At 48.3% G+C, this 23,083-nt stretch overlaps 1 pseudogene, besides 1 other annotated feature; it reads left to right on the forward strand.

Annotated features, from left to right (window-relative positions):
- On the forward strand, nt 426-6,782 carry CROCCP1 (CROCC pseudogene 1; annotated as a pseudogene).
- Nucleotides 17,430-17,931: an enhancer, noted in NCBI's record as "H3K4me1 hESC enhancer chrX:134583585-134584086 (GRCh37/hg19 assembly coordinates)". NCBI's record gives its function as "activates a minimal SCP1, AML or CMV promoter by ChIP-STARR-seq in naive H9 embryonic stem cells {active_cell/tissue: H9 hESC(naive)}" and the evidence as "EXISTENCE:reporter gene assay evidence [ECO:0000049][PMID:30033119]".

Genomic DNA, 23,083 nt, shown 5'->3' on the forward strand with positions numbered 1-23,083 from the left:
AATATGTTGACTAAGAATGCTATATCTGGCAAAATTGTTCCTCAAATATGAGGGAGAAATTAAGATATTCCCAGATAAACAAAAGCTAATGTTACCACTACACCTGTCCTGCAAGAACTGCTCAAGAGAGTACTGCAAAGTGAAATGAAAGGGTACTAGATAGGAATTCAAAGCTGTATGAAGATATAAAGATTCCCCCCTCCTTTCCTCCCCTATTCCCTCTTCTCTCTTTTTCCCTCCCTTTCTCTCCCTTCTCCTTCATCCTTCCTCTTCCTTCTTCTTCCCTCGGATCCCCCCTGCCTCTGCTTCCCTCCTCTCCTGTCCTTTCCCATCCTCTCCCCTCTCAACCCCCATCTCGCTCCTCCCACGGCTGTGGTCACATGGGGGCGCCGCGGGATTTAAGCTTAATCTGCCTGGTGCTCAGCACAGCAGCCTGGCTGTGGGGCGTGCTGACTGAGCTAGTCTTGGGGTCCTGCAGAAGGGGGCTGGAGGGATGCCCACAGCCACCCCGCCATGAGCTTGGGGCTGTAGGGGCCACAGGAGGGCCAGCTGACACTGGAGACGGTTATCCGGACACTGGAGAGAAGCGTCCTGGGCCATGAGAAGGGCTTGGGCACGCGGGACCTGGCCCAGGACCCTCAGACCATCATCCTACCTGCCCGCATCAGGGAGATTGTCACCCGCAACCTCTCCCGGCCTGAAAGCCCAGTCCCTCTGCGGGCCACAGAGATGGCACTGCTGCTGTCGCTGCAGAAAAAGAACCAGCTGCTGCAGCAGGAGCTGTCGCGCGCGGAGGACTTACTGGCCCAGAGCCACGCCAAGCGTGATGAGCTCACCATTAAGCACAATGGGCTGGAGCAGGGTGTGCGTCTGGAGTCTGAGGAGCTGGAGATGCAGGAGCCCGGGGGCTGGTACAGCAGAGCGTGGAGTTGTGGAGGCAGCTGCAGGAGGAGCCTACCAGGAGGGCCAACAGTGGCAGGCCCAGCTTGTGCAGCAGCTGCAGGCCAAGATTCTCCAGTACAAGAAGAGGTGCTGGGAGCTGGAGCAGCAGCTGCTGGAGAGATCCAGAGAGCTTGCGCAGCAGCGGCTGAGGGACACAGAGCACAGCCAAGACCTGGAGAGCGCCCTCATTCGGCTGGAGGAGGAGCAGCAGAGGAGTGCCAGCCTGGTCCAGGTGAATGCCATGCTCCGAGAGCAGCTGGACCACGCAGGATCGGCCAGCCAGACTCTGAGTGAGGACATATGAAAGGTGACCAGCCACTGGACACTCAGCCGCAAGGAGCTGGAGCAGCGGGAGGCGGCATGGAGGCTCGAGGAGGAGTCCTTCAACGCCTACTTCAGCAACGAGCACAGTCGCCTGTTACTCCTCTGTAGGCAGGTGGGGGTCGGGTGACTGGTCAGCGAGGTGAAGATGTCCACCGAGAGGGACCTGCTGCAGCTGGGAGGGGAGCTGGCCTGGACATCATACGCTGTCCAGGAGGCGGGCCTGGTACTGAGCACGGGCCTGCGGCTGGCAGAGAGCGGGGCCGAAGCGGCCCTGGAGAAGCAGGCCCTGCTGCAGGCCCAACTGGAGGAGCAGCTGCAGGACAAGGTGCTCCATGAGAAGGACATGGCCCAGCAGCAGATGCAAAGCGACCTGGACAAGGCCGACCTCAGTGCCAGAGTGACAGAGCTGGCCCTGGCAGTGGAGCGTCTTCAGAAGCAGAATCTGTAGTAGGATTAGGTCAAGAAGCCCCTCGGCAAGCCTGAGGCCCTGGAATCCCTGCGGCTACAGGAGCAGGTGGCCCTGGAGACAGAGGATGGAGAGGGGCTGCAGCAGACCCCGAGGGACCTCGCACAGGCCGTCCTGTTGGACACTGAGACGGCGTCCAGCTGAGCGGCTCCGAGCACACTGCGGACGCGTGCGAAGGCAGCCTGCGGGGCTCTCAGGCCAGCGGATCCCATCCCCACCCACCGCAGTGCTCCTCACTGGGCAGCAGCCGTTCGCCCCACCGAAGCCGGTCCCTGGCTAGCTCAGACTCCTCCAGGCTCGCCCTGATTCACTCTGCCCTGCACAAGCGACAGCTGCAGGTCCAGGACATGCGTGGGCACTATGAGGCAAACCAGGACCTGCTGGGCACCCTGTGGAAGCAGCTTAGCGACAGTGAGGTTGAGCGGCGGGCCCTAGAGGAACAGCTCCAGCACCAGTGGGACAAGACCGATGGCGCCGTGCAGGCCCAAGAGGACGCCCAGCGCGAGGTACAGAGGCTGCGGAACGCCAATGAGCTCCTGAGCAGGGAGAAGAGCAAACTGGCCCACAGTCTGCAGGTGGCCCAGCAACAGGCCAAGGACCTTCTGAAGGAGCGTGAGAAGCTGCAGGCTGCCCAGGAGGGGCTGCGGCGCCAGCGGGACCGATTGGAGGAAGAGCAGGAGGAGGCGGTGCAGGATGGTACACGGGTGCGCCAGGAGCTTGAGCGCAGCCATAAACAGCTAGAGCAGCTGGAAGGGAAGCGCTCAGGCCTGGCCAAGGAGCTGGTGGAGGTGAGGGAGGCGCTGAGCTGCACCACACTGCAGCGGGACATGCTGCAGGCCGAGAAGGCCGAGGTGGCCGAGGCGCTGACCAAGGCTGAGGCTGGCCAGGTGAAACTCGAGCTCTCCGTGACCAAGCTGAGGGCAGAGGAGGCCTCCCTGCAGGACTCCCTGTCCAAGCTGAGCGCCGTCAACGAGAGCCTGGCTCAGGACAAGTTGGATCTGAACCGCCTTGTCGCCCAGCTGGAGGAAGAAAAGGCAGCCCTGCAGGGCCGGCTGCGGCAGGCGGAGCAGGAAGCCACCGTGGCGCGGGAAGAGCAGGAGCGGCTGGAGGAGCTGCGGTTGGAGCAGGAGGCGGCGCGGCAGGGCCTGGAGGGCTCCCTGCGAGTGGCAGAGGAGGTCCAGGAGGCGCTGGAGCAGCAGCTCCCCACGCTGCGCCATGAGCGCAGCCAGCTGCAGGAGCAGCTAGCCCAGCTCTCCCAGCAGCTGAGCGGGCGGGAGCAGGAGCTGGAGCAGGCTCGGCTGGAGGCACAGTGGCAGGCAGAGGCGCTAGCCAAGGGGTGCACTGGCCTGGTCATGCAGCTGGCGGCCGCGGAGCCTGAAGGCAGGACCCTGTCAGAGGAGGCCACATGCCTGCGCTTGGAGAAGGAAGCCCTGGAGGGCAGCCTGTTTGAGGTGCAAGGGCACCTGGTTCAGCTCGAGGCCCGCTGGGATCAGCTGGAAGCCGATGGGCAGGCCCTGCTGTTGGCCAAGGAGACCCTGACTGGGGAGCTGGCGGGCCTGCAGCAGCAAATAATAGCTACAAAGGAGAAAGCCAGCCTAGACAAGGAGCTGATGGCCCAGAAGCTGGTGCAGGCTGAGCAGGAGGCCCAGGCCTCTCTGAGGGAGCAGCGGGCAGCCCATGAGGAGGACTGGCAGTGAGTCCAGCGCGAAAAGGAGGCAGCATGGCGGGAGCTGGAAGCCAAGCGGGCCCAGCTGCAGAGTCAGCTGCAGTGCGAGCAGGAGGAGCTGCTGGCCCGACTGGAGATCGAGAAGGAAGAGCTGAGCGAGGAGATTGCTGCCTTGCAGCAAGAGCGCGACGAGGGCCTCCTCCTGGCCGAGAGCAAGAAGCAGCAAGCCTTGTCTCTGAAGGGGTCTGAAAAGACTCTGTCAGAGAAGTTGTCAGAGAAGTTGATGGGTACGCGGCACAGCCTGGCCACCATCTCCCTGGAGATGCAGCCACAGAAACTAGATGCCCAGAGCTGGCAGGAGCAGGACCGGAGCACCGTGAACGCTCTGATGTCCAAGCTGAGGGACCTATGGGCCCAGCTGGAGGAGGCTGATGTGGCCCACGCCCAGGAAGTGAGGAGGCTGCAAGAGCAGGCCCGAGACCTGGGCAAGCAGCAGGACTCCTGTCTTCGAGAGGCAGAAGAGCTTCGGACCCAGCTGCACGTGCTGGAGGATGCCCGCGACCGGCTTCGGCGGGAGCTGCTGGAGGCCCAGCGCAAGCTGCGTGAGAGCCAGGAGGGCCTCGAGGTGCAGCGCCAGGAGGCGGGCAAGCTGTGGCGCAGCCTGGGCGAGGGTGCCAAGGAGCGTGAGGCACTGCAGGCCGCCGTGAAGAAGGCAGAGAGCGAGCGCATCAGCCTGAAGTTTACCAATGAGGACAAGGAGCAGAAGCTGGCACTCCTAGAGGGCAAGGAGGCTGGGGAGCTTTGGACTGGGCTGCAGGAGGTGGAGCGCTCACGGCTGGAGGCTTGGAGGGAGCTGCAGGAGCTCCGGCGTCAGATGAAGATGCTGGACAGTGAGAATACCAGAGTGGGCCGCGAGTTGGCGGAGCTGCAGGGCCGCCTGGTGCTGGGCTAGCAGGCAGAGAAGGAGAGCCGGCGGGAGATCCTGCGCCTCCGGCAGAGGCTGCTGAAGGGCGAGGACAGCCTGGAGGCGACGCGGCAGGAGCTCCAGGTAGCCCAGCGGAAGCTGCAGGAACAAGAAGGCGAGTTCCGGACCCGCGAGCGAGGCCTGCTGGGCTTCCTGGAGGAGGTGCGCGGCACCGAAAAGCAGCAGCTGGACCACGCCCGCGGCCTGGAGCACAAGCTGGAGGCGGCGCGGGCCGAGGCTGCGGAGCTGGGCCTGTGGCTGAGCGCGGCCGAGAGCCGGGCACAAGACCTGGAGGCCGAGCTGGCCCGCGTGGAGGTGCAGCGGTGCGCGGTGGAGGCCCAGCTGGGCGGCCTGCGCTCGGTTCTGTGCCGGGGCCTCGCCCTGGGTCGCGCGCCCAGCCCAGTCCAGCCCCGCCACCAATGCCCGGCTCCCCTGCCCGGGACGCGCCCGCTGGAGGAAGCGGGGAAAGGCTAGGCCGCCCCAGCACCTTAGAATGCAGCCCTGGGTCCCAGCCACCATTTCCAGGACCTACCACCTCCCCGGCTCCTCTAGACCTGGACCCAGAGGCAGTGCGCGGGGCCCTCCGGGAATTTCTGCAGGAGCGGCGGAGCGCCCTGAGAGAACAGGACGAACTTCGGACCCAGAGTGCCCTGAATCGCCAACTGGCCAAGATGGAGGCTGAGAGGGACACCACAACCTCGAAGGCCAGGCAGCTGCAGAAGGCCAGAGTGGCTACAGTGGCTGAGAGTGAGAAAGCCCTGCGCAGTGTGGATGGACGGCTGAGCCGGGTCCAGGAGGAGCTGGCGCTGCAGGAGGAGAGTGTGCGGCGCAGTGAGCGGGAGCGCCAGGGCCACAGTGGACTAGGTGGCCGCACTGGAGAGAAGCCTGCAGGCCACTGAGAGCGAGCTCCGGGCCAGTCGGGAGAAGATCAGCAAGATGAAGGCCAACAAGAGGAAGCTGGAGGGCGACAAGTGGTGCCTGAAGGAGATGCTGGACGCCTCCGAGGGCCTCACCGTCAAGCTGGAACTGCAGCGGCCCTCGCTTGAGGGGGAGCCGTAGCGCAGCCACCTGGGCCTGAGCGGCCACGAGGCCCAAGCCCAGGCCCTCCAGAATCGGATGGACTCCCTGCAGAGACAGGTGGCAGACAGCGAGGTGAAGGCAGGAATCCTGCAGCTGACAGTGGAGTGGCTGAATGGGGCCCTGGCCAAGGTGGAGGAAAGGGAGGGGCTCCTGCACGTCAAGGTGCGGGGCCTGACAGAGGCCCTGGCCTAGAGCAGCGCCAGCCTCAACAGCACCCAGGACAAGAACCTGCATCTGCAGAAGGCTCTGACCGCCTGTGAACATGACTGCCAAGTGCTCCTGGAACGGCTGGACGCTGCCAGGCAGACATTGTCTGAGGCAGGGAAGCAGAGCAGCTCCCTTGGCGAGCAGGTGCAGACGTTGCCAGGCGAGGTGGCTGACCTGGAGCTGCAGTGGGCCGAGGCCGAGGGCCAGCTACAACAGCTTCAGGAGGTGCTGCAGCAGTGGCAGGAGGGCGAGGCTGCAGTCCTGCACACGGTCCTGAAGCTGCAGGACGAGCAGAGGATGCTGCAGGAAAGCCTGGGCAGCCTGCAGCGCACCCTGGCTCAGCTGGAAGCCGAGAGGCGGGAGGTGGAGCGCTCAGCCCTGCAGCTGGAGAAGGACCCTGGGGCCCTCAGGAGGGCACTGGACAAGGTGGAGCGAGAGAAGCTTCGCAGTCATAAGGACACAGTGCCGCTGAGCCCAGAGAAGGGCCGCCTGACCTGGACCCTCATGGGGGCTGAGCTGGAGCTGGCCGAGGCCCAGAGGCAGATCTAGCAGCTAGAGGCGCAGGTGGTGGCGCTGGAGCAGAGCCACAGCCCAGCCCAGCTGGAGGTGGACGCACAGCAGCAGCAGCAGCTGGAGCTGCAGTAGAAGGTGGAGCGCCTGTGCAGTGCCCAGGCACAGGCTGAACGTACCCTGGAGGCATGGGAGCGGGCCCACCGCCAGAGGGTGCACTAGCTGGAGGAGCAGGTGTCCACACTGAAGGGACCAAAGTTGCAGCAGGAGCTTCAAGGAGCTCAGCACCCTTCTCCCACCCTCAGGCCCCCCCAGAGAAATAAGCCCCTGCTGGCATCTGGAGAATGGCCCTGTGCCCGGGACAGGGGAGGGCCCTCCTCTTGGACACCCCACCCAGAGCATGGTCCCTTGGGGGCCTCGAGCTGAGGTGGAATGAGGAGGAGCCCCACTGGCAGTGCTGAGGAGAGGTACTCCAGCTCCAGGCCTGGAGAGCCTTCCCGGCATCGCCTGCGGACCCCACCTCAGTCCAGCCCCCTCTTCCAGGATGAGCCATTGTAGATCATAGAAGGTCTTCCTTGAGAGGTTGAGCCAGGGTTCGGGAGAGCCCTTGTCTCTGGTCAGCCTTGGAGCATGGGCTCGTGGGAAAGAGGAAGGGGACGGGGCACAGGGCAAGGATCAGAGGCCCAGGCTTCCAGAGATCTCTCCGCCTTAGTTCAGAGTGTGTGTCAGGAAATTCCTCAGAGAGCTCAGAGCCCCTACCCTGTATTTTTATACCTTTTTACAATGTTAACAGTTCAAAACTGTTTTCTGTGACAAGAAGACCTCCTTTTCTAAAAAAAAAAAAAAGTCTCAATAAATATATGGGCAATTATAAAAGACAGCATTATTGTAACAACCATTTGTAACTCTACTTTTTGACTTGTGCATGACTTAAGAGACTAACACATTTTTAAAATTATTAGTCTAAAAGCTTGTATTATTATAACTTTGGTTTGTAACTCCACACTTTGTTTCCCACATAACTTTAAGAGATGAATGAATTTAAAAGAATTAGTAGTTTATGTTCTTGGGAATACAGTGTGTAAGGATGTAAGCCTGTGATGTCAACAACTGAAAGGAGTGAAAACCAAGTTGTAAATAAACAGAGTTTTTATATGTTATTGAGGTTAAACTAGTATAAATTCAAACTAGAGTGTTATAACTTTAGGATGTTAAATGTAATCCCCATGGTAAGCACGAAGAAAATAACTACAATATGTACAAAAGGAAATGAGAAAAGAATAAACTGCTCACTGCAAAAGAGTCAACACAAAAGAAGACAGTAATGCAAGCAATGAGGTCCCCCAAAACTATAAAGAATATTAAAAATGAGTGCCAAAATATCAGAAGTCCTTCCTTATCCTTAATTACTTGAAATGTAAATTGATTATACTCTCCAATCAAAAGGCAGAAATTAGCAGAATGGATAAAAACACATGATCCAAATATATTCTTTCTACTATCAACAGAGTAAACAGACAACGTACATAATGGGAGAAAATATTTGCAAACTATGTATCTGACAAAGATCCAATATCCAGAATCTATAAGGAACCTAAACAAATCAACAAGCAAAAACTAAACAACCTTGTTAAAAATGGGCAAAGGACACAAACACATTTCTCAAAATAAGACATACGAGCATCCAACAAGCATACGAAAAAATGTTCAATATTACTAATCATTAGGGAAATGCAAATTAAAACCATAATGAGATACCATCTCGCACCAGTCAGAATGACTATTACCAAAAAGTCAAAAAATAACAAATGCTGGTGAGGATGCAGAGTAAAGGGAACGTTTATATACTGCTGGTGGGAATGTAAATTAGTTCAGCCACTGTGGAAAGCAGTCTGAAGATTTCTCAAAGAACTTAAAATAGAACTGCCATTTGATCCAGCAATCCCATTACTAGGTATGTACCCAAAGGAATATAAATCATTCTGCCATAAAGACACATGTATGGGTATGTTCATTCCAGCACTATCCACCATAGTGCCTAAATGCCCATCAATGGTAGACCGGATAAAGAAAATGTGGTACATTTACACCATGGAATACTACACAGCTATAAAAAGAATGAGATCATGGCCTTTGCAGCAATGTGGATGGATCTGGAGGCCATTATCCTAAGTGAATTAACACAGGAACAGAAAACCAAATACTGCATGTTGTCATTTATAAATGGGTGCTAAACACTGAGTACACATGGACACAAAGAAGGGAACAATAGACACTGGGGCTTATTTGAGGATAGGTAGTGGGAGCAGGGTGATGATCAAAAATCTACCTATCACGAGTTATGCTGATTACCTCGGTGACAAAACTATATGTGCACCAAACCCCTGTGACACACAATTTACCCATGCAAAATACCTGAACACGTACCCCTTGAACCTAAAATAAAAGTTGAAAACTATATGTATTTATATATATATGTATGCATAAAATATGTGTGTATGTATATATATGTGTGTGTGTGTGTGTATACATGTCTACTTTCTAAAGGAGACTCATTTTAGATCCAAAGACGCAAATGGATTGAAAGTGAAAGGATGGAAAACTATATGGTATGCAAATAGTAAACAAAAGAGAGCAGGAGTGATTATACTAATATCATACAAAATAGACTTTAAATCAAAAAAAGATTCAAGAGACAAAGCCATTATAATAAATAAATGGTTCAATACAGCAAGAAGATATAACAATTATATACACAATTATAATAACAGACCATCAAAATATATGAAGCAGATATTGACAGAATTGAAGGGAGAACTAGACAGTTCTGCAATAATAGTTGGAGACTTCAATATCCCACACTCAATAATGGATAGAAGAACCAGACAGAAGAGAAATAAAGAAATAGACAATTAGTTGTAGTTTATTATTAACACAATAAACCAACTAATTCTAACAGACATACACAGGCCACTCTACATAACAACAACACACACATTCTGCTAAAGTGCACATAGGACATATTCCAGGATAGATTACATGTTAAGCCACAAACTTAGTCCTAATAGATTTTAAAGGATAGATATAATTCAAAGTATTCTCCAATTACAACATGATGAAGTTAGAAATTAATAACAGTAGTAAAACTGGAAAATTGACAAATTTGTGAAAATTGAGACATTCTTAAACAATCGATGGATCAAAGAAGAAATCACAAGGAAAATTTAAAAATACTCAGAGGTGAAAGAAAAGACTATGCTTTGGGGAAAAGACATTCTTTTCAACAAATGGTGCTGGGAAAACTGGATGTCTTATGTGAAAGAATGAAGATGGAACCTTACCTAACATCGTACACACAAATTAATTCAAAGTGGATCAAAAACTTAAATGTAAGACCTAAAACCATAAGACATTTAGAAGAAAACAGGGTAAAACATCACAATATTGGATTTGCCAATTATTTGATGGACATGAAACCAAAGGCACAGACAACAAAAGAAAAAATAGACAAATTGGACTTCAGAGATCCTGTCATTTGCAACAACATGGATGGAACTGGAGGAAATTATGTTAAGTGAAATAAGCCAAGCACAGAAGGACAAACTTCATGTGTTCTCACTCATTTGTGGGAGCTAAAAACGAAAACAACTGAACTCACGAAGATCAAGTATAGAAGGGTGGTTACCAGAGGCTGGGAAGGGTAATGGGGAGCAGGGAGGAAAAGTGGGGATGATTAATGGGTACAAAAATATACTTAGATAGAATGCATAAGTTCTAGTATTTGGTACCACAACAGGGCGACTACAGTCAACAATAATTTATTGTACATTTTAAAATAACTAAAATAGTACACTTGGAATGTTTATAACACTAATAAATAACAAATGCTTGAGGTGATGGATACCCCATTTATCCTCGCATGATTATTACACATTGTATACCTCTATCAAAATATCTCATATACTCCATAAATATATACACCTACTAGGTACCCATAAAAATTTAAAAATGTGTGCATCAAAATACACTATGAGCAGAGTAAAAATGCAACCTACAGAATGGGAGAAAATATTTGCAAATCACATATCTGATAAGAGAGTAATATGAAGACTATATAGAGAATACATACAACTCAACAACAACAAAAACCTGATTCCAAAATGGATGAAGGACTAAAATAGACAACTCTCCAAAGAAGATATACAAATGGCCAATAAGCACATGAAACGATGCCCAAAATCGTTAGGAAAATGCAAATTAAAACTACAATGAGACCCAATAAGATGGCTACTATCAAACAAACAGAAAACCACAAATGTTGACAAGGATGTAGAGAAGTTAAAACTTTTGTGCACTGTTGGTGGGAATGTAAAGTGGTATAGCTACTGTGGAAAACAGTGTAGCAGTTCATCAAAAAATTAAAAGCAAAATGACCATATGATCCAGCATTTCCATTTCCAGTATATGCACCCAAAAGAATTAAAAACACGGTCTCAAAGAGATATTTGTACACCTATGTCATAGCTTTATTCACAAAATCTAAACAGTGGAAGCAATTCAAGTCTCCATTGATGAATGTATTTATGACTGTATTCAATTCCAATGAACTATACACTTAAAATGGTTAAGGTGATAAATTTTATGTTATGTGTGTTTTACCACAGTAAAAACAACTGAAAAAAAAAAGGACCAGGGATTCTTGGAGAAATCACTGATAAAGTGGCATTTTTAAATTCTGACAAAATAAATTTTTAAAACCACCCATTAAACATGAGAGAGGGGTTGTTTATACTCACAAAACATATCCATAAGGCAGATATATAGTCAAACTTTTATGCATCTTATAACAGCAGTGAAATAACAGACCAAGTAGTATATTACTACTATATAAGTAGTAATGGATGAAACCACAATTATGATGAAGACTTCAAAGCATGTCAATTAATAACATCCATAATCATGATGACAATAGTAAGTACAGTATACTAGGTCCTAATTAAATTCCAGGTACTTTAATAGAACTTCAATTTTTAAGAATCATTTCAGGCATCAAGACAGATTTGACACAACAGCCTTAGCTTTCCAACCCCTGCTCAAGATCATTGTCTTATTTCCTTTTCTTCATTGCATGTAATCCTGTGTCAGCCCATTCTCACATTGTTATAAAGAAATAATTGAAGCTGGGTAATTTATAAAGAAATAATTGAAGCTGGGTAATTTATAAAGAAATAATTGAAGCTGAGTAAATAAATAATTTATGAATAATAAAGTAATAATTTATAATTTAATAATATTTATGAAGAAATAATTGAAGCTGGGTAATTTATAAAGAAAAGAGGTTTTATTTGGCTCATAGTTCTGCAGCTGTACAGGAAGCATGGTGCTGACATCTGCTTTTGGTGAAGGCCTCAGAAAGCTTACAATCATGGCAGAAGGTGAAGGGCAGCCAGCGTGTCACATGGTGAGGGAGAGAAAGAAAGAGTGAGGAGGTGCCATGCTGTTTTTAACGAACCAAATCTCAGGTAAACTCCAAGTGAGAACTCACTCATTATCGCGAGGGCAGCACCAAGCCATTCATGAGGGATCCGCCCTCAAGACCCAACACCTCCCACCAGGCCCCACCTCCAAATTGGGAATCATATTTCAACATGAGATTTGGAGGGGACAAATATCCAAATCATATCAATCCCTAAATGAGCTGAAGGACATCTAACATCAGCACATCTGCAACCCATTCACAGCATACCAGTTGGAAGTTCTACCATAGAACACTGGAGCCCCAGAAACTTGTGGTGACAGGTTCCTGTATTTTCTTTTCTTTTCTTTCTTTCTTTATTTACTTTTTGAGATGGATTTTCGCTCTTGTTGCCCAGGCTGGAGTACAGTGGTGCGATCACGGCTCACTGCAACCTCCGCCTCCTGGGTTCAAGTGATTCTCTTGCCTCAGCCTCCCGAGTAGCTGGGATTGCAGGCATGTGCCACCATGCCCGGCTAATTTTGTATTTTTAGTAGAGACGGGGTTTCTCCATGTTGGTCAGGCTGATCTTGAATTCCCAACTTCAGGTGATCCACCTGCCTTGGCCTCCCAAAGTGCTGGGATTACAGGCGTGAGCCACTGCTCCAGGCCGGTTTCTGTATTTTCATGGCATTTCTTTTTCACCAGTAGAAAATATGCTTTTAACCCATCCTGCTACTTTCCTGCTCCCGGGGTTCTTGCACCATTTAGGAAGACCAGTATGTTGCTTCACTGAGGGTGAGGTTATCAAGAACCCTGCATTTGAAATTATGGCAACAAGCCTCAAAGTTGACATATCCATGAAGCAAATGTTCAAAGTATACTACTGCTGGACCAGCCCTAGAAAAGCAAATGGATTCTGGACTTTGCTATTTAAAAGGATGAAGGAAAATTATTCATGCAACCACTGCACCCCAGGTACCGAAGTAATTCACTCATTTCAGTCATGATGTCTGTGTAACACTGGCTATAATTGAATCACCACCTGACTAGGCTTACCTTAATCCACTGTTACTCTCAAAGAGCATTCTTCTACAGCAACTAACGCCAAAAATTAATTGGGGAGATGGTAGCATCCATGACCCATGTATCTCTCAAGTCCAATGGTGGCCTTCTCTGTAATTCCCACAGCTTATGGGGCTGCTTTTGAATGACGACTTTCACAGGGACCTGGAGCTGTCACAGTAAAAGCCTAAAATCTACAGGATATTCATGCCTACTATGTTCCTGTAAAATGGGAAACTAACCACTGGATGCTTGAAAGGTCTCAGTACACCTGTAAAGCAATTTCAGAACCAAACTTTCTTTATCCACTGAGCAGGAGATTATGGGGTAATTCTGAATCCCAGGACTGAAAGGGAGCTCACAGCCACTTTCCAGTGACGCCCAAAGATCTGAATATGTCCCTTCCCCTAGGCCACAGTTATCTGGTTAAGGCTCTATTTGAGGAAGAAAGGAAAACTTTTCATCAGGTGTATTTGTGGGATTTTAGTACCATCATAGCCCATGGGTAGGTAGCTTCTCCTTCCTTCAAAGGGCTCTGATTTGCCCCCTAATTCATGTATGGAGTTGGCCCGCACTTCTCCCAAAAGTAGATCTCCAGCCACTTTGAGGCTTATGTGCACCAGATCTGGAGACGTTTTTAGTAAAATATCAAGTGAAGTCTTAATGGATTGCTCAACAATTTTATTCCTAGAAAACAAGTCATTAATTACCCACACCTAAGCATTATCGTTGGCCAGATCACCCATTCATTGAATTTAACAACATTTAATCTGCCTTTAATATATGCCAGGCACTCTTCTAAGTGCTTTGTGATGCATTAAGGAGAAAAGCAGACCAAAATACGTTCTGGCATAACAAATTAGGTAGGTAAATATAAGATGAAAAAGGCTATGGAAAAATAAAAACAGCATAAGGGGGACTCAAAATTGAAGTCAGATTGTAACTTTAAATCATGCTTTTAACATGCTGACTCTGCTGCTTCTTCAGTTAAATTCTTTTCCTCTGATGGTGCCTTCAGGGCTGCCCCAGGCCTCTGCCATCTTATAATTCACTCTTGGTAATAGAAAACAAGGAATTTAAGGTGAATTGTTGTGTCTCCAGGAACACCCTACCTACAGTAACTTGCCAGGTTTAGCATGCTTTTTAATTGATAAGGCACTTCACTAAAGTGGGCTCATGGTCCAAGTGAACCAGCCAGTATCTTAATTGAATTTACTAGAAAAGTCATATGTAAAAAAAGTTTAGGTTTACTAAGCTAAGCTTTTCAATTAAACTAGACTCTTTACTGCCCAAAGAGGAGAAGATGAACAGAGAATAAGTGTTTTATTATTACAACCTTTGCACCGGTGTGATAGAAACTGCCCTCCAAATATAACAGGATTGAATCCTCTCAACCATGGCCATATTGACGATATCATATCTTTGAGGTATGTATCCATCAGGAAGTTTCAGAGAATCCAAGGTGAAAAAGATACTATCATCTATCACCCCATGTCTTCCATGTAGACTAGTAATGCAGGCCTGTAATTATAAATGGTGGAAATGACTATGTAAAAGCATAGTACACTTTAATGGGCTCTGCACCTCCTCACTCTGGCTCTAATCTTCAAGTCACTCCATCTTCTTCAGTGATTCCCAACATGGTTGGCACACGGGCAACACCAGGGGTACTTTGTAAAAATAATTATGCCCAGATTGCATTTTAAGCCAACTAAATCAGAGTCTCTGGGGATGGGGCCTAGGTCTCTGCTGAGAAGCTCTGTGCTGAATACTACATAGAATATCCATAAACCTCTGTAGTAAAGGTTGAGAGAGTGAAAGGGGTTGAATGAGAAAGGAATGTGGCAGTAAGTAGACTATCATTTTTTCCCTGCTTCCTCTGTCACTTTCCAAGCTCACTATTTCATCTGTACCTTTGTTAAAAATGAATTTCTTTCTCATTTTCAGGCTCTACTATCCAAATGATACCCAGCATTTACTGGAAAACTCAAATCCCACAACCCACTCCATTCATTCTCTCCCAACAATTTTCTGGCATACAGCATTTTCTGTCACACAGTTTTTCTTCCTGTTGTTCTCAGAACATCCTAATAACATTAAAATACCAAATATACTATACAACTTAGAACTTACTTATGTACATGTTCTACATGATTTTCTAATCATTTTCTTTTGGGAGTCCTGCCATTTCAGTAAGAAAACAGGCTACTTTTGATAAAAAACAAATATGTTTTCTCATATTTTCTAGATTTCCTAGCACACCCAATAGACTTCTGGGCATAAAAATTATCACTAAAGGAAGGTTTCGAAGAAACTAATGACAAGTGCAACATGGAAACAAATTACCTCGTCCACATATTTACAGCTCATGGGCTTCACTGAGCATGGCTTGATGTTTAAGGTGCCTGGCTGCATGTAATACTCAACTTCTAACCAGTCACCGTTATAAGGCAAGAGACCTAAAACAACCATGGAGAAATTTGAGTGTCATTATCTATTAATTGAGGTTATGTTAAATTTCACGTTACTTTGACATTGTAATACCCTAAAATAGCTTTTAGTAGATCCAAGGTACATTTCGCACATGTTTAAACAGACACCTTGTAAATCTGTCAGAAAGGAAGTTTATAATCCTTTAGGCATTGATTCTCCTTTACTGATTTAACAAAGTTAAATGGAGAAAGTGTGAACTTTTCATCACAGCCAATCTAAGGGAGAAGCACAGGATTTATTAAACAATTGGTCATGTTCACAACTCCTTAGTGAGAGGCAGTCAAGTACACAGGTAAGAGCAAAAGTTGGAACCTGGCTACCTGCGTTAAAATCTTGACAGTGTCACTTACTCAATTTGCAACCTTAGTCAAAGCGCTTAATCTCTCTGTTCCTCGGTTTCTTCATCTATAAAATGAGAAGCACAATAATAGTCCTCACGACATAAAAGTGTTGTGATAATTAATTGGTATATTTAGAGCTCAGAGAATAATGCCTGGCACTAGTAACCACCAAATAAATGTTGATTGGTATTAGTGGTAGAAATAACTATGTAAAAGCATAGTACACTGTAACTGGCTCTGCACCTCCTTACTCTGGCTCTAACCTGATACTAGGAAATATTGCTACTGTAAGAATGAATCAATTCCCTAGGTGTTTTGTTCAGTTGATAAACTCTTATTTATTTATTTATTTATTTATTTATTTATTTATTTATTTATTGAGATAGAGTTTCACTCCTGTTGCCCAGGCTGGAGTGCAATGGTGCAATCTCAGCTCATGGCAACCTCCACCTCCTGGGTTCAAATGATTCTCCTGCCTCAGCCTCCCAAGTAGCTGGGATTACAGGCGCCCGCCATCATCACGCCCGGTTAATTTTTTGTTTTTTTTGTTTTTTTTTTTTTTTTTAGTAGAGACGGGGTTTCACCATGTTGGCCAGGCTGGTCTCAAACTCCTGACCCAAGAAGATCCACCTGCCTCGACCTCCCAAAGTGCTGGGATTACAGGGGTAAGCCACTGCGCCTAGCTTGAACTCTTGGATAGGTATATTACGTGTTACAGTTATAAACAAGTAGTTTCAAATAGAATTTTACAATAAGTTAAAAGTGAGTTGCAGGATATAAATGTCAAGGATCTGGAGGAACTAGAAATTTCAAACACTGCAGGTGGGAGTGGAAATGGTCACACCATGTTGGAAAACTGGCAACATCCGCAATGTTAAACATTTCCTTAACTTACTATCCAACATTATAAATGACACAAGACACACGTCTGGGACCATTTCTCTTTTAATATACATACCTTTCTTTGGTGTGACTTTATATAATATCTGGGGGATGATAACTTCAAAATATGTACACCTCCAGCATTAACCAATCTCAGATTCAATTATCCACATGTCTACGCAAGTTTAATATGTCTAAAGCTGAGTTCTTGCTATTCTTCTTATGCACCCAATTTGGCTCCTCTCAGTTCTCCACGTCTCAAATTGGCAATTCCATCCTTACCACTTCTCAAACAAAAAACTTTGCAGTTACTGGCAGGAATAAGTGACATCAGCAAGATAGCGGAGTAGGAGTTCCAGCCTTTTTTCCTCCAAAACAACAACAACAACAACAACGACAACAACAACAACTTGACGGTCATTCATGAATAAAAACAGCTCCAAAAGAGCACAAGAGTCCACTTAAGAAGCTATAGCAACACAGTTGAAGAAAAAAACTGAGAATACTTGCACAAAAAAGGTAGGAAGGACAGTTTCATTTTACCTGCATCATCCCATCCCCCAGTTGACACTGCTCAGCATGGAGAGAACATTCCCTAGCTCGTGAGTTCCTCTTGCAGGGCAGGATGAACAACTGGCTCTCTCAGTCTTCAGGACACTGCCTGGGACTGATCTGCTCCAGTTTCACTCACTCAGAATGTTGAGAAAACTGCCAGCTGAATGCTTGGAGATGGTTAAGAACAAAGGAAATGGGTAGGGGATATCAGTGTCTGCCATGTAGGAGAAGCCACTGTGGTCCCCAGTAGCCTGCTTTGCACAGGACTCCAGCAGCCTTCTTTACTGAAGACCTTAACAGCCCTTGAAGCCTTTTACTGCTGAGGAAAATAAATCATGTCCTCTCAGCACTGCTGCAGTGGACAACCAGTGCCTCGAGGGCTGTGAAGTTTTTCACCTTCGCAGTCTCCAGCTGCCAGAGTCTCCACCCTTCTTCCACCCCTTCTCCTGGAACATCCCCAGTGGCTGCTGCTGTGGACACCCCAGCCCAGTGACCCCACACATCCACCTTGCATGTGTGCACAATCAGCCTGGGCCTGTGCTACAGGCCCCAACCCACCACTACATGTGTGTCTGACTGACCCTGTTAGCTGTATGTGTTCATGCACAGCTGGCCCTGACTCCAGTTGCCAGCCCCTACCATCACATTTATGTCGGCAGCTGATTCCTGCAACATGTGTACACACCAAAAGCTCTCGTGGTCCTTGCAGCTGACCAACCCCTGTTGCCAGGCTGCACAGTCCTGCACATGCCTATAGCTGACCCATGGAACTGTGTGTGTACTGGCCACCATTTGCATTCCCCATGGCTATGCATGCACAAGAAACCAGCCCTGACTGCTGACTCATGTCTCCAGCCCTTACTGCCATGCTCACTTCCACAACTAGCGCCTGTAGCAGTGTACATGCATGCTGCCAGCTCTGGTTATGTGCAGCTGTGCACATGCACACATCAACCCAACCTCCATCACAGGCCACCCATCATGCATGTGCCTGCAGATGGCGCCTGCAGCTGCACACATGCTGTCCAACAGCCCTGGCCCTGTAGCTATGTGTGTACTTGCACCTGGGCCCACCAACTGGTGCCTGCCCTCACTACCATGCTTACACATGCAACAAGTCCCTGCAACCATGCACAGGCATGCTGCCAGACCCAACTCCTGTACCTGTGCACGTGCAAGCCACCGGCCCCCACCACCACATGAGTACCTGCAGTCAGGCCCTGCTGCCATGCATATGCCTGCAGCTGAACATGTGTACACCACCAGTCCTGGCCCCCGCCACTGCCTACCCTAGTCTCTTGCCACTGAACCCGAAGCTCCACTGAGAACCCAAACAGCCTTTAGAACCACCAAGGACCATGCAGTTACCAGAGTTGTAGACCCTAGCTGCCCAAGCCAATGAGACCCTGCATCCTCCCCTGAAACTCGAGTGCCCAACAGAAGGTTCCAGTATGTTTCTATCCTTTGAAGATACTGCTGTTACAGAGAATAATAGGACATGTATGAAGCAGAGAATTATTCCTCGTCTTCAATCTGATATTAAGCTGAACAACAGGGGCAGCTGTCAATCTCTGTATCTGGATTTTTGTCAGCACCACTGCCAGATACACCTATTTTATGCAGCTAGTTTGAAAATCAAAAAACTATCCTGAATCTACCCTGGTGGTGAGTTTTGCCTTTGGGTCAGGACTTTTTTTTCTGTAACATATTTGCTGATGTGTTATTGTTTCACCACTGGGCCTTGTGTTAGTCTGTTTTGCATTGCTGTAATGAAGTACCTGACGCTGGGTAATTTATAAAGAAAAGAGGCTTATTTGGCTCATGATTCTGAAGATTTTACAAGCATGTCACCAGCATCTGCTCAGCTTCTGGTGAGGTCTCAGGAAGCTTTTACTCATGGTAGAAGGTGAAGGGGGAGCGGGCATGTCACGTGGCAGGAGAGGGAGCAATAGAAATGCCAGGTTATTTTAAACAATCAGCTCTCATATGAACTAATAAAGTGGGAACTCACTTACTACTGCAAGGACAGCATCAAGCCATTCATGAAGGATCTTCCCCCATGACCTAAACACCTCCCACCGGGTCCCACATCCAGCATTGGGGATCACATTTCAACATGAGATTTGGAGAAGAGAAACATCCAAACTATATCTGGCCTCTTCCATAGACTCTCTTGGCCTTTCTTTCAATCCCCTACAGCCCTTGCCCCACCACTGTGGTATTAAAAGCTTACAAAAGTAGCCCCATCCTATTAGTTCCCAAGCAATCCAAGCCCTCAATTATTTCTCTATCTGGTGGTTCAGAGAGTGGGGATCCCCAGTGAATGATCAGGTGATCCAGGACTGATCCAGCTACATTCCTCAACTGTCTGCCCAGTGGAGAACATCATAGACTTCTTCATTCTCCTTCCTGGCCTCATGCTTTAGAGAATGATCAGGGCATTCATCTTCCACCCCAGCAGGCTCACCTGCATTGCCTTTGGGCTGGGCTCTTGGCTCTGACCCTGAGGCCTTCTCCTTGGACACAGATGTCCTGGCCTTGTGGGTACATTGGATGCCACAAACACATGACTGCCTGCCCCTGGACCAAATCCTACATCATCTCACATTCTCAGTTCCTCCCAGGAAGAGGATCAGAGGGGCAAACAGGACCCTAGACAGCAGCCAAGGGGGCTTGGTCCCTTGCCACAACATTCCAAATATGACCTCATGGAGAGCAGACATTGAGTCTTACAAGCAGGGTGACCAGACTCGCAGAGATTTAGTGGGACCAACAGGCTGGAACTTCTAAGGGTTTGCTCCCTGGGCCCTGAGACTGGGAGACAGTCTTGCTGCAGGCTGTACCCCATGAGCTTTCCTCCCATTGCGATGCTGCTGGTGGCACACACAACAGTCACTATTGCCATCTGTTCCACTCAGCCACCTAGAGATCAGGCTGAACCTCAAGCCCTCTCCCAGTTCTGCAGAGCAATCCCCCAGGTCCCCCCAGGCTGGATTGACCCAAGCCCTGCCACCGGCCCTTTCTCAGCAGGTTCCCTCTGTGGCTGTCATGACAGCACACTCCCTCTCCCTGGCCACCAGAGTCCATCTGTAACAACTGCAGCTGCTTTTCCACTCACAACACCCCCTCCTACAGATATCAGGGGTCCTCTCATTAACCAAATCTTTCTTCTTCCCCTACCCACACAAACATACACCAATTCATGCCACATACCTCCAGCACTCGGAAATTCAGAAGAGCTCTGTGCTCCAGGGAAGGCTTCCAGGACACCCTGACAAGGGACTCCTGGCCTATTCCCTGATCCCTTTTTACATCTGACACTGCAGTGGGCCCCAGGCACAGATTCCCTGTGGGCAGTTAGAGGAGGAGCTTACAGGAACAGGTGAGTGCTGAGTAGGAGACAAGGTGTGCATGCAGGCTCAGCCAACAGGATTGCAACTCCCCCTACCAAAGAAATAGTATGGGGTATGGGTTTTGTCATTACCTCCAGGGCAAAGGTTAACTCAGACAAAACCAGACCACCCAGACCCTCGGAGCTACAAGATGGCCTTCCCAGTTCCCAGAGATTGGCACCCAAAGATTTCTTTTTTCAAATTATGAACGTTAAAAATAAATGTCAGGGCACATGCAGCAAGAACCCCAATGTACACACCAGATATCATGGCTGGAAAGTGATTCCACTTATACTCTAGAAGTGCTCTCAATGCAGTTTTCCTGAAATGTCTTTTCTAAAGGGCTTTCCATGTGAACACCATGGCAAATCTGAGCACCGGTTAAAGCAGTTTTTGCTCAGATGTGATACAAAGCCTCACCCCAGACCCTCTGTTGTGTTTCTCATACTCCTTTTCCCACTTCCCTCTTCCATATGCTTTTGCTCATGGGAGTGCAGAGGGCAAAGACCAGCCTAAGAGCTCAAAGGCTGGCTTGGGTGTTCAGCTCCTGGTTCACCAGCTCTGGGAACATGGGCATGTCACCGTGCCCCTCTGCACCTGCCTCCCTCTCTGCCCCATGGGCGCAGCAGTACATAAGGGGGAAGCAACGTTCACAGTGCCTGTCAACATTTGAAACTGGCAGACTCATTTCTCTTCCACTTCCTAGTTTCTCACTTTCTATGACATTTCCAGGTAACAGCAACTCTCCACATTCATGCCACCTGGGAATCACTGCAGGTCCATTGTCAAATGTAGTAAAATGTCAGGTCATATTATCCTGGGAATCACAGCAAAATGGTTAAAGCTGAGGCTCTGCAGCCTCACACTGACACCTGCTTCCCTTACTCCCTTCCTGTGTCCCATGACCTCGTAGCCTTTCTTCTCTTTCCATTATCAAAGCCTGAGGTGCAGTGGTGGCTGTGTCTCTTGCTGAAAGCCTTAGCAATACCCTCCCAAGGGCCTTCGGATGTAGTTCAGGGGAGTGACCAAGAGATGACGCTATTCTTGTTAGTGCAAGCCAGATGAGCTGGGAAAAAGAACATTTCACCAAACAGCTTTGACAAAATTGGCCTTCTGTAGTTGAACAAACCATAAGAATGAGATAAATGGGCTTTCAGAAGTTATAAGAGGTACCTGATCTTAAGCAAATAAGCCCCCATGAGGTTGTTACGTGCTTTTGATTCCTACAAACACTACAGCAGAGATGTGCAAACAGGACTGGAGACCCAGATACCCAGATAAGTTACAAGGGCCTTCTCCAGACACCAGTAAACACTGAGAGACAGTCAACCCCATGTTTTAAACTAGGCACCCTGAGGTTCAAGCAGGCTTTGGAGGGAGAAACCAACTGGGCTTAAATCCTGGCTCTTCAGGTTATGAGCTGGGTGACATTGGGCCGGTCACTCACACTCTCTCTTCCCAGCTTCTGGTGGCTGCCAGCAGTCTTTAGTGATCCTTGGCTTATAGGCATCACTCTAATTGCTGCTTCCATAATCACATGGCCTTCTCTCCTGTGTGTCTCTGTGTCTTTGTTCTTAGGAGAACAGCAGTCTCATTAGATTCATACCCTAATCCAGTATGACTTCATTTAAATGTAACTAATTACATTTTTAAAGACCCTATTTTCAAGTAAGGTCATATTCTGAGGTTCCAGGTGGACATTGACTTTGGGGTCACACTAATCAGCCCAGAGCAGTGCTTGACACATGGAAGTGGTTAGTAAACGAGTACTAGTCTTTTTTGTCTTTATTAGCTTTTAGCTTTACTTGTAGCTGTTCACATTGTGTCTTGGGGACATCAAATAGACATTCATCCTGCAGACTGCCATGGAGACCAAGTACAGCCATGCTTGTACAAGTGTCTGGTACATAGGAAGGGCTGCATACATGGAATTGGCTGTGGTCATATGCAAAACAGAAGCACCACTGCGAGTGCTCCTGCCCATGAAAACAACTGATATTTATCCAGCCTCGTCTGCACCTTGTTCATCTATTTGTTACGTGCCAGCCCTCAGTGGCAGAGAAGGGGTAGCAGACACAGAAGGCTTAAGAAAAAGAAGAGAAAAAAGAAAACAGAAAGTAGGGGGCATTCTACCCATCAGCATTGTTTCTGGTTTTGGAAAAGGTAGCCATTCTCTGACTTTGATGGTTGTACTCCAGCTGAAATCAACAGTGAGCCTTTCTGAAGCTCACAGCCTTCCTCTGCTCGTCCCCAGCTCTGTCTGTGTGTGCCTGTACCTTTGGTTTCCTGCAGCCACTGAAGCAAGCATCTTGCTGCTGTGTCTCCTCACAAGTTCCTCCAGGAGGAAAACTTAAGGAGAAGAGCTTGGCCACATTCCTGCCCCCGCTCCATTCCTTCCTGTGACTTTGCCTTTTCCCCCGCCAGAGAGAAGGCCTTGGAATGCTTTGTGCTGTTTCCTGTCCCTGCTTCCTGATAACTCCCCAAACCGGGCCCATTTATTCCCCACTTGGAAGTTCAGCCCTGCCAGTGAGGCTCCAGAGCCAGGCATTCTTTGTAGTGGGAAGAATTTTGAATCCCAGCCCAAAGATAATCTGTTTGCTTCTCTTTTTGTCATTTAAGTTCTTATCAGGTAGATATAAAGGGAAATGTACATGTACTTATTGAAGTTGGGTAGTGCCTATATGGGAATTTGTTATACTTTTGAATTTGGTATATATTTGAAATTTTCCATAATAAAATTT

This window comes from Homo sapiens, chromosome X (genome assembly GCF_000001405.40).
Source record: "Homo sapiens chromosome X, GRCh38.p14 Primary Assembly".
Taxonomy (NCBI): domain Eukaryota; kingdom Metazoa; phylum Chordata; class Mammalia; order Primates; family Hominidae; genus Homo; species Homo sapiens.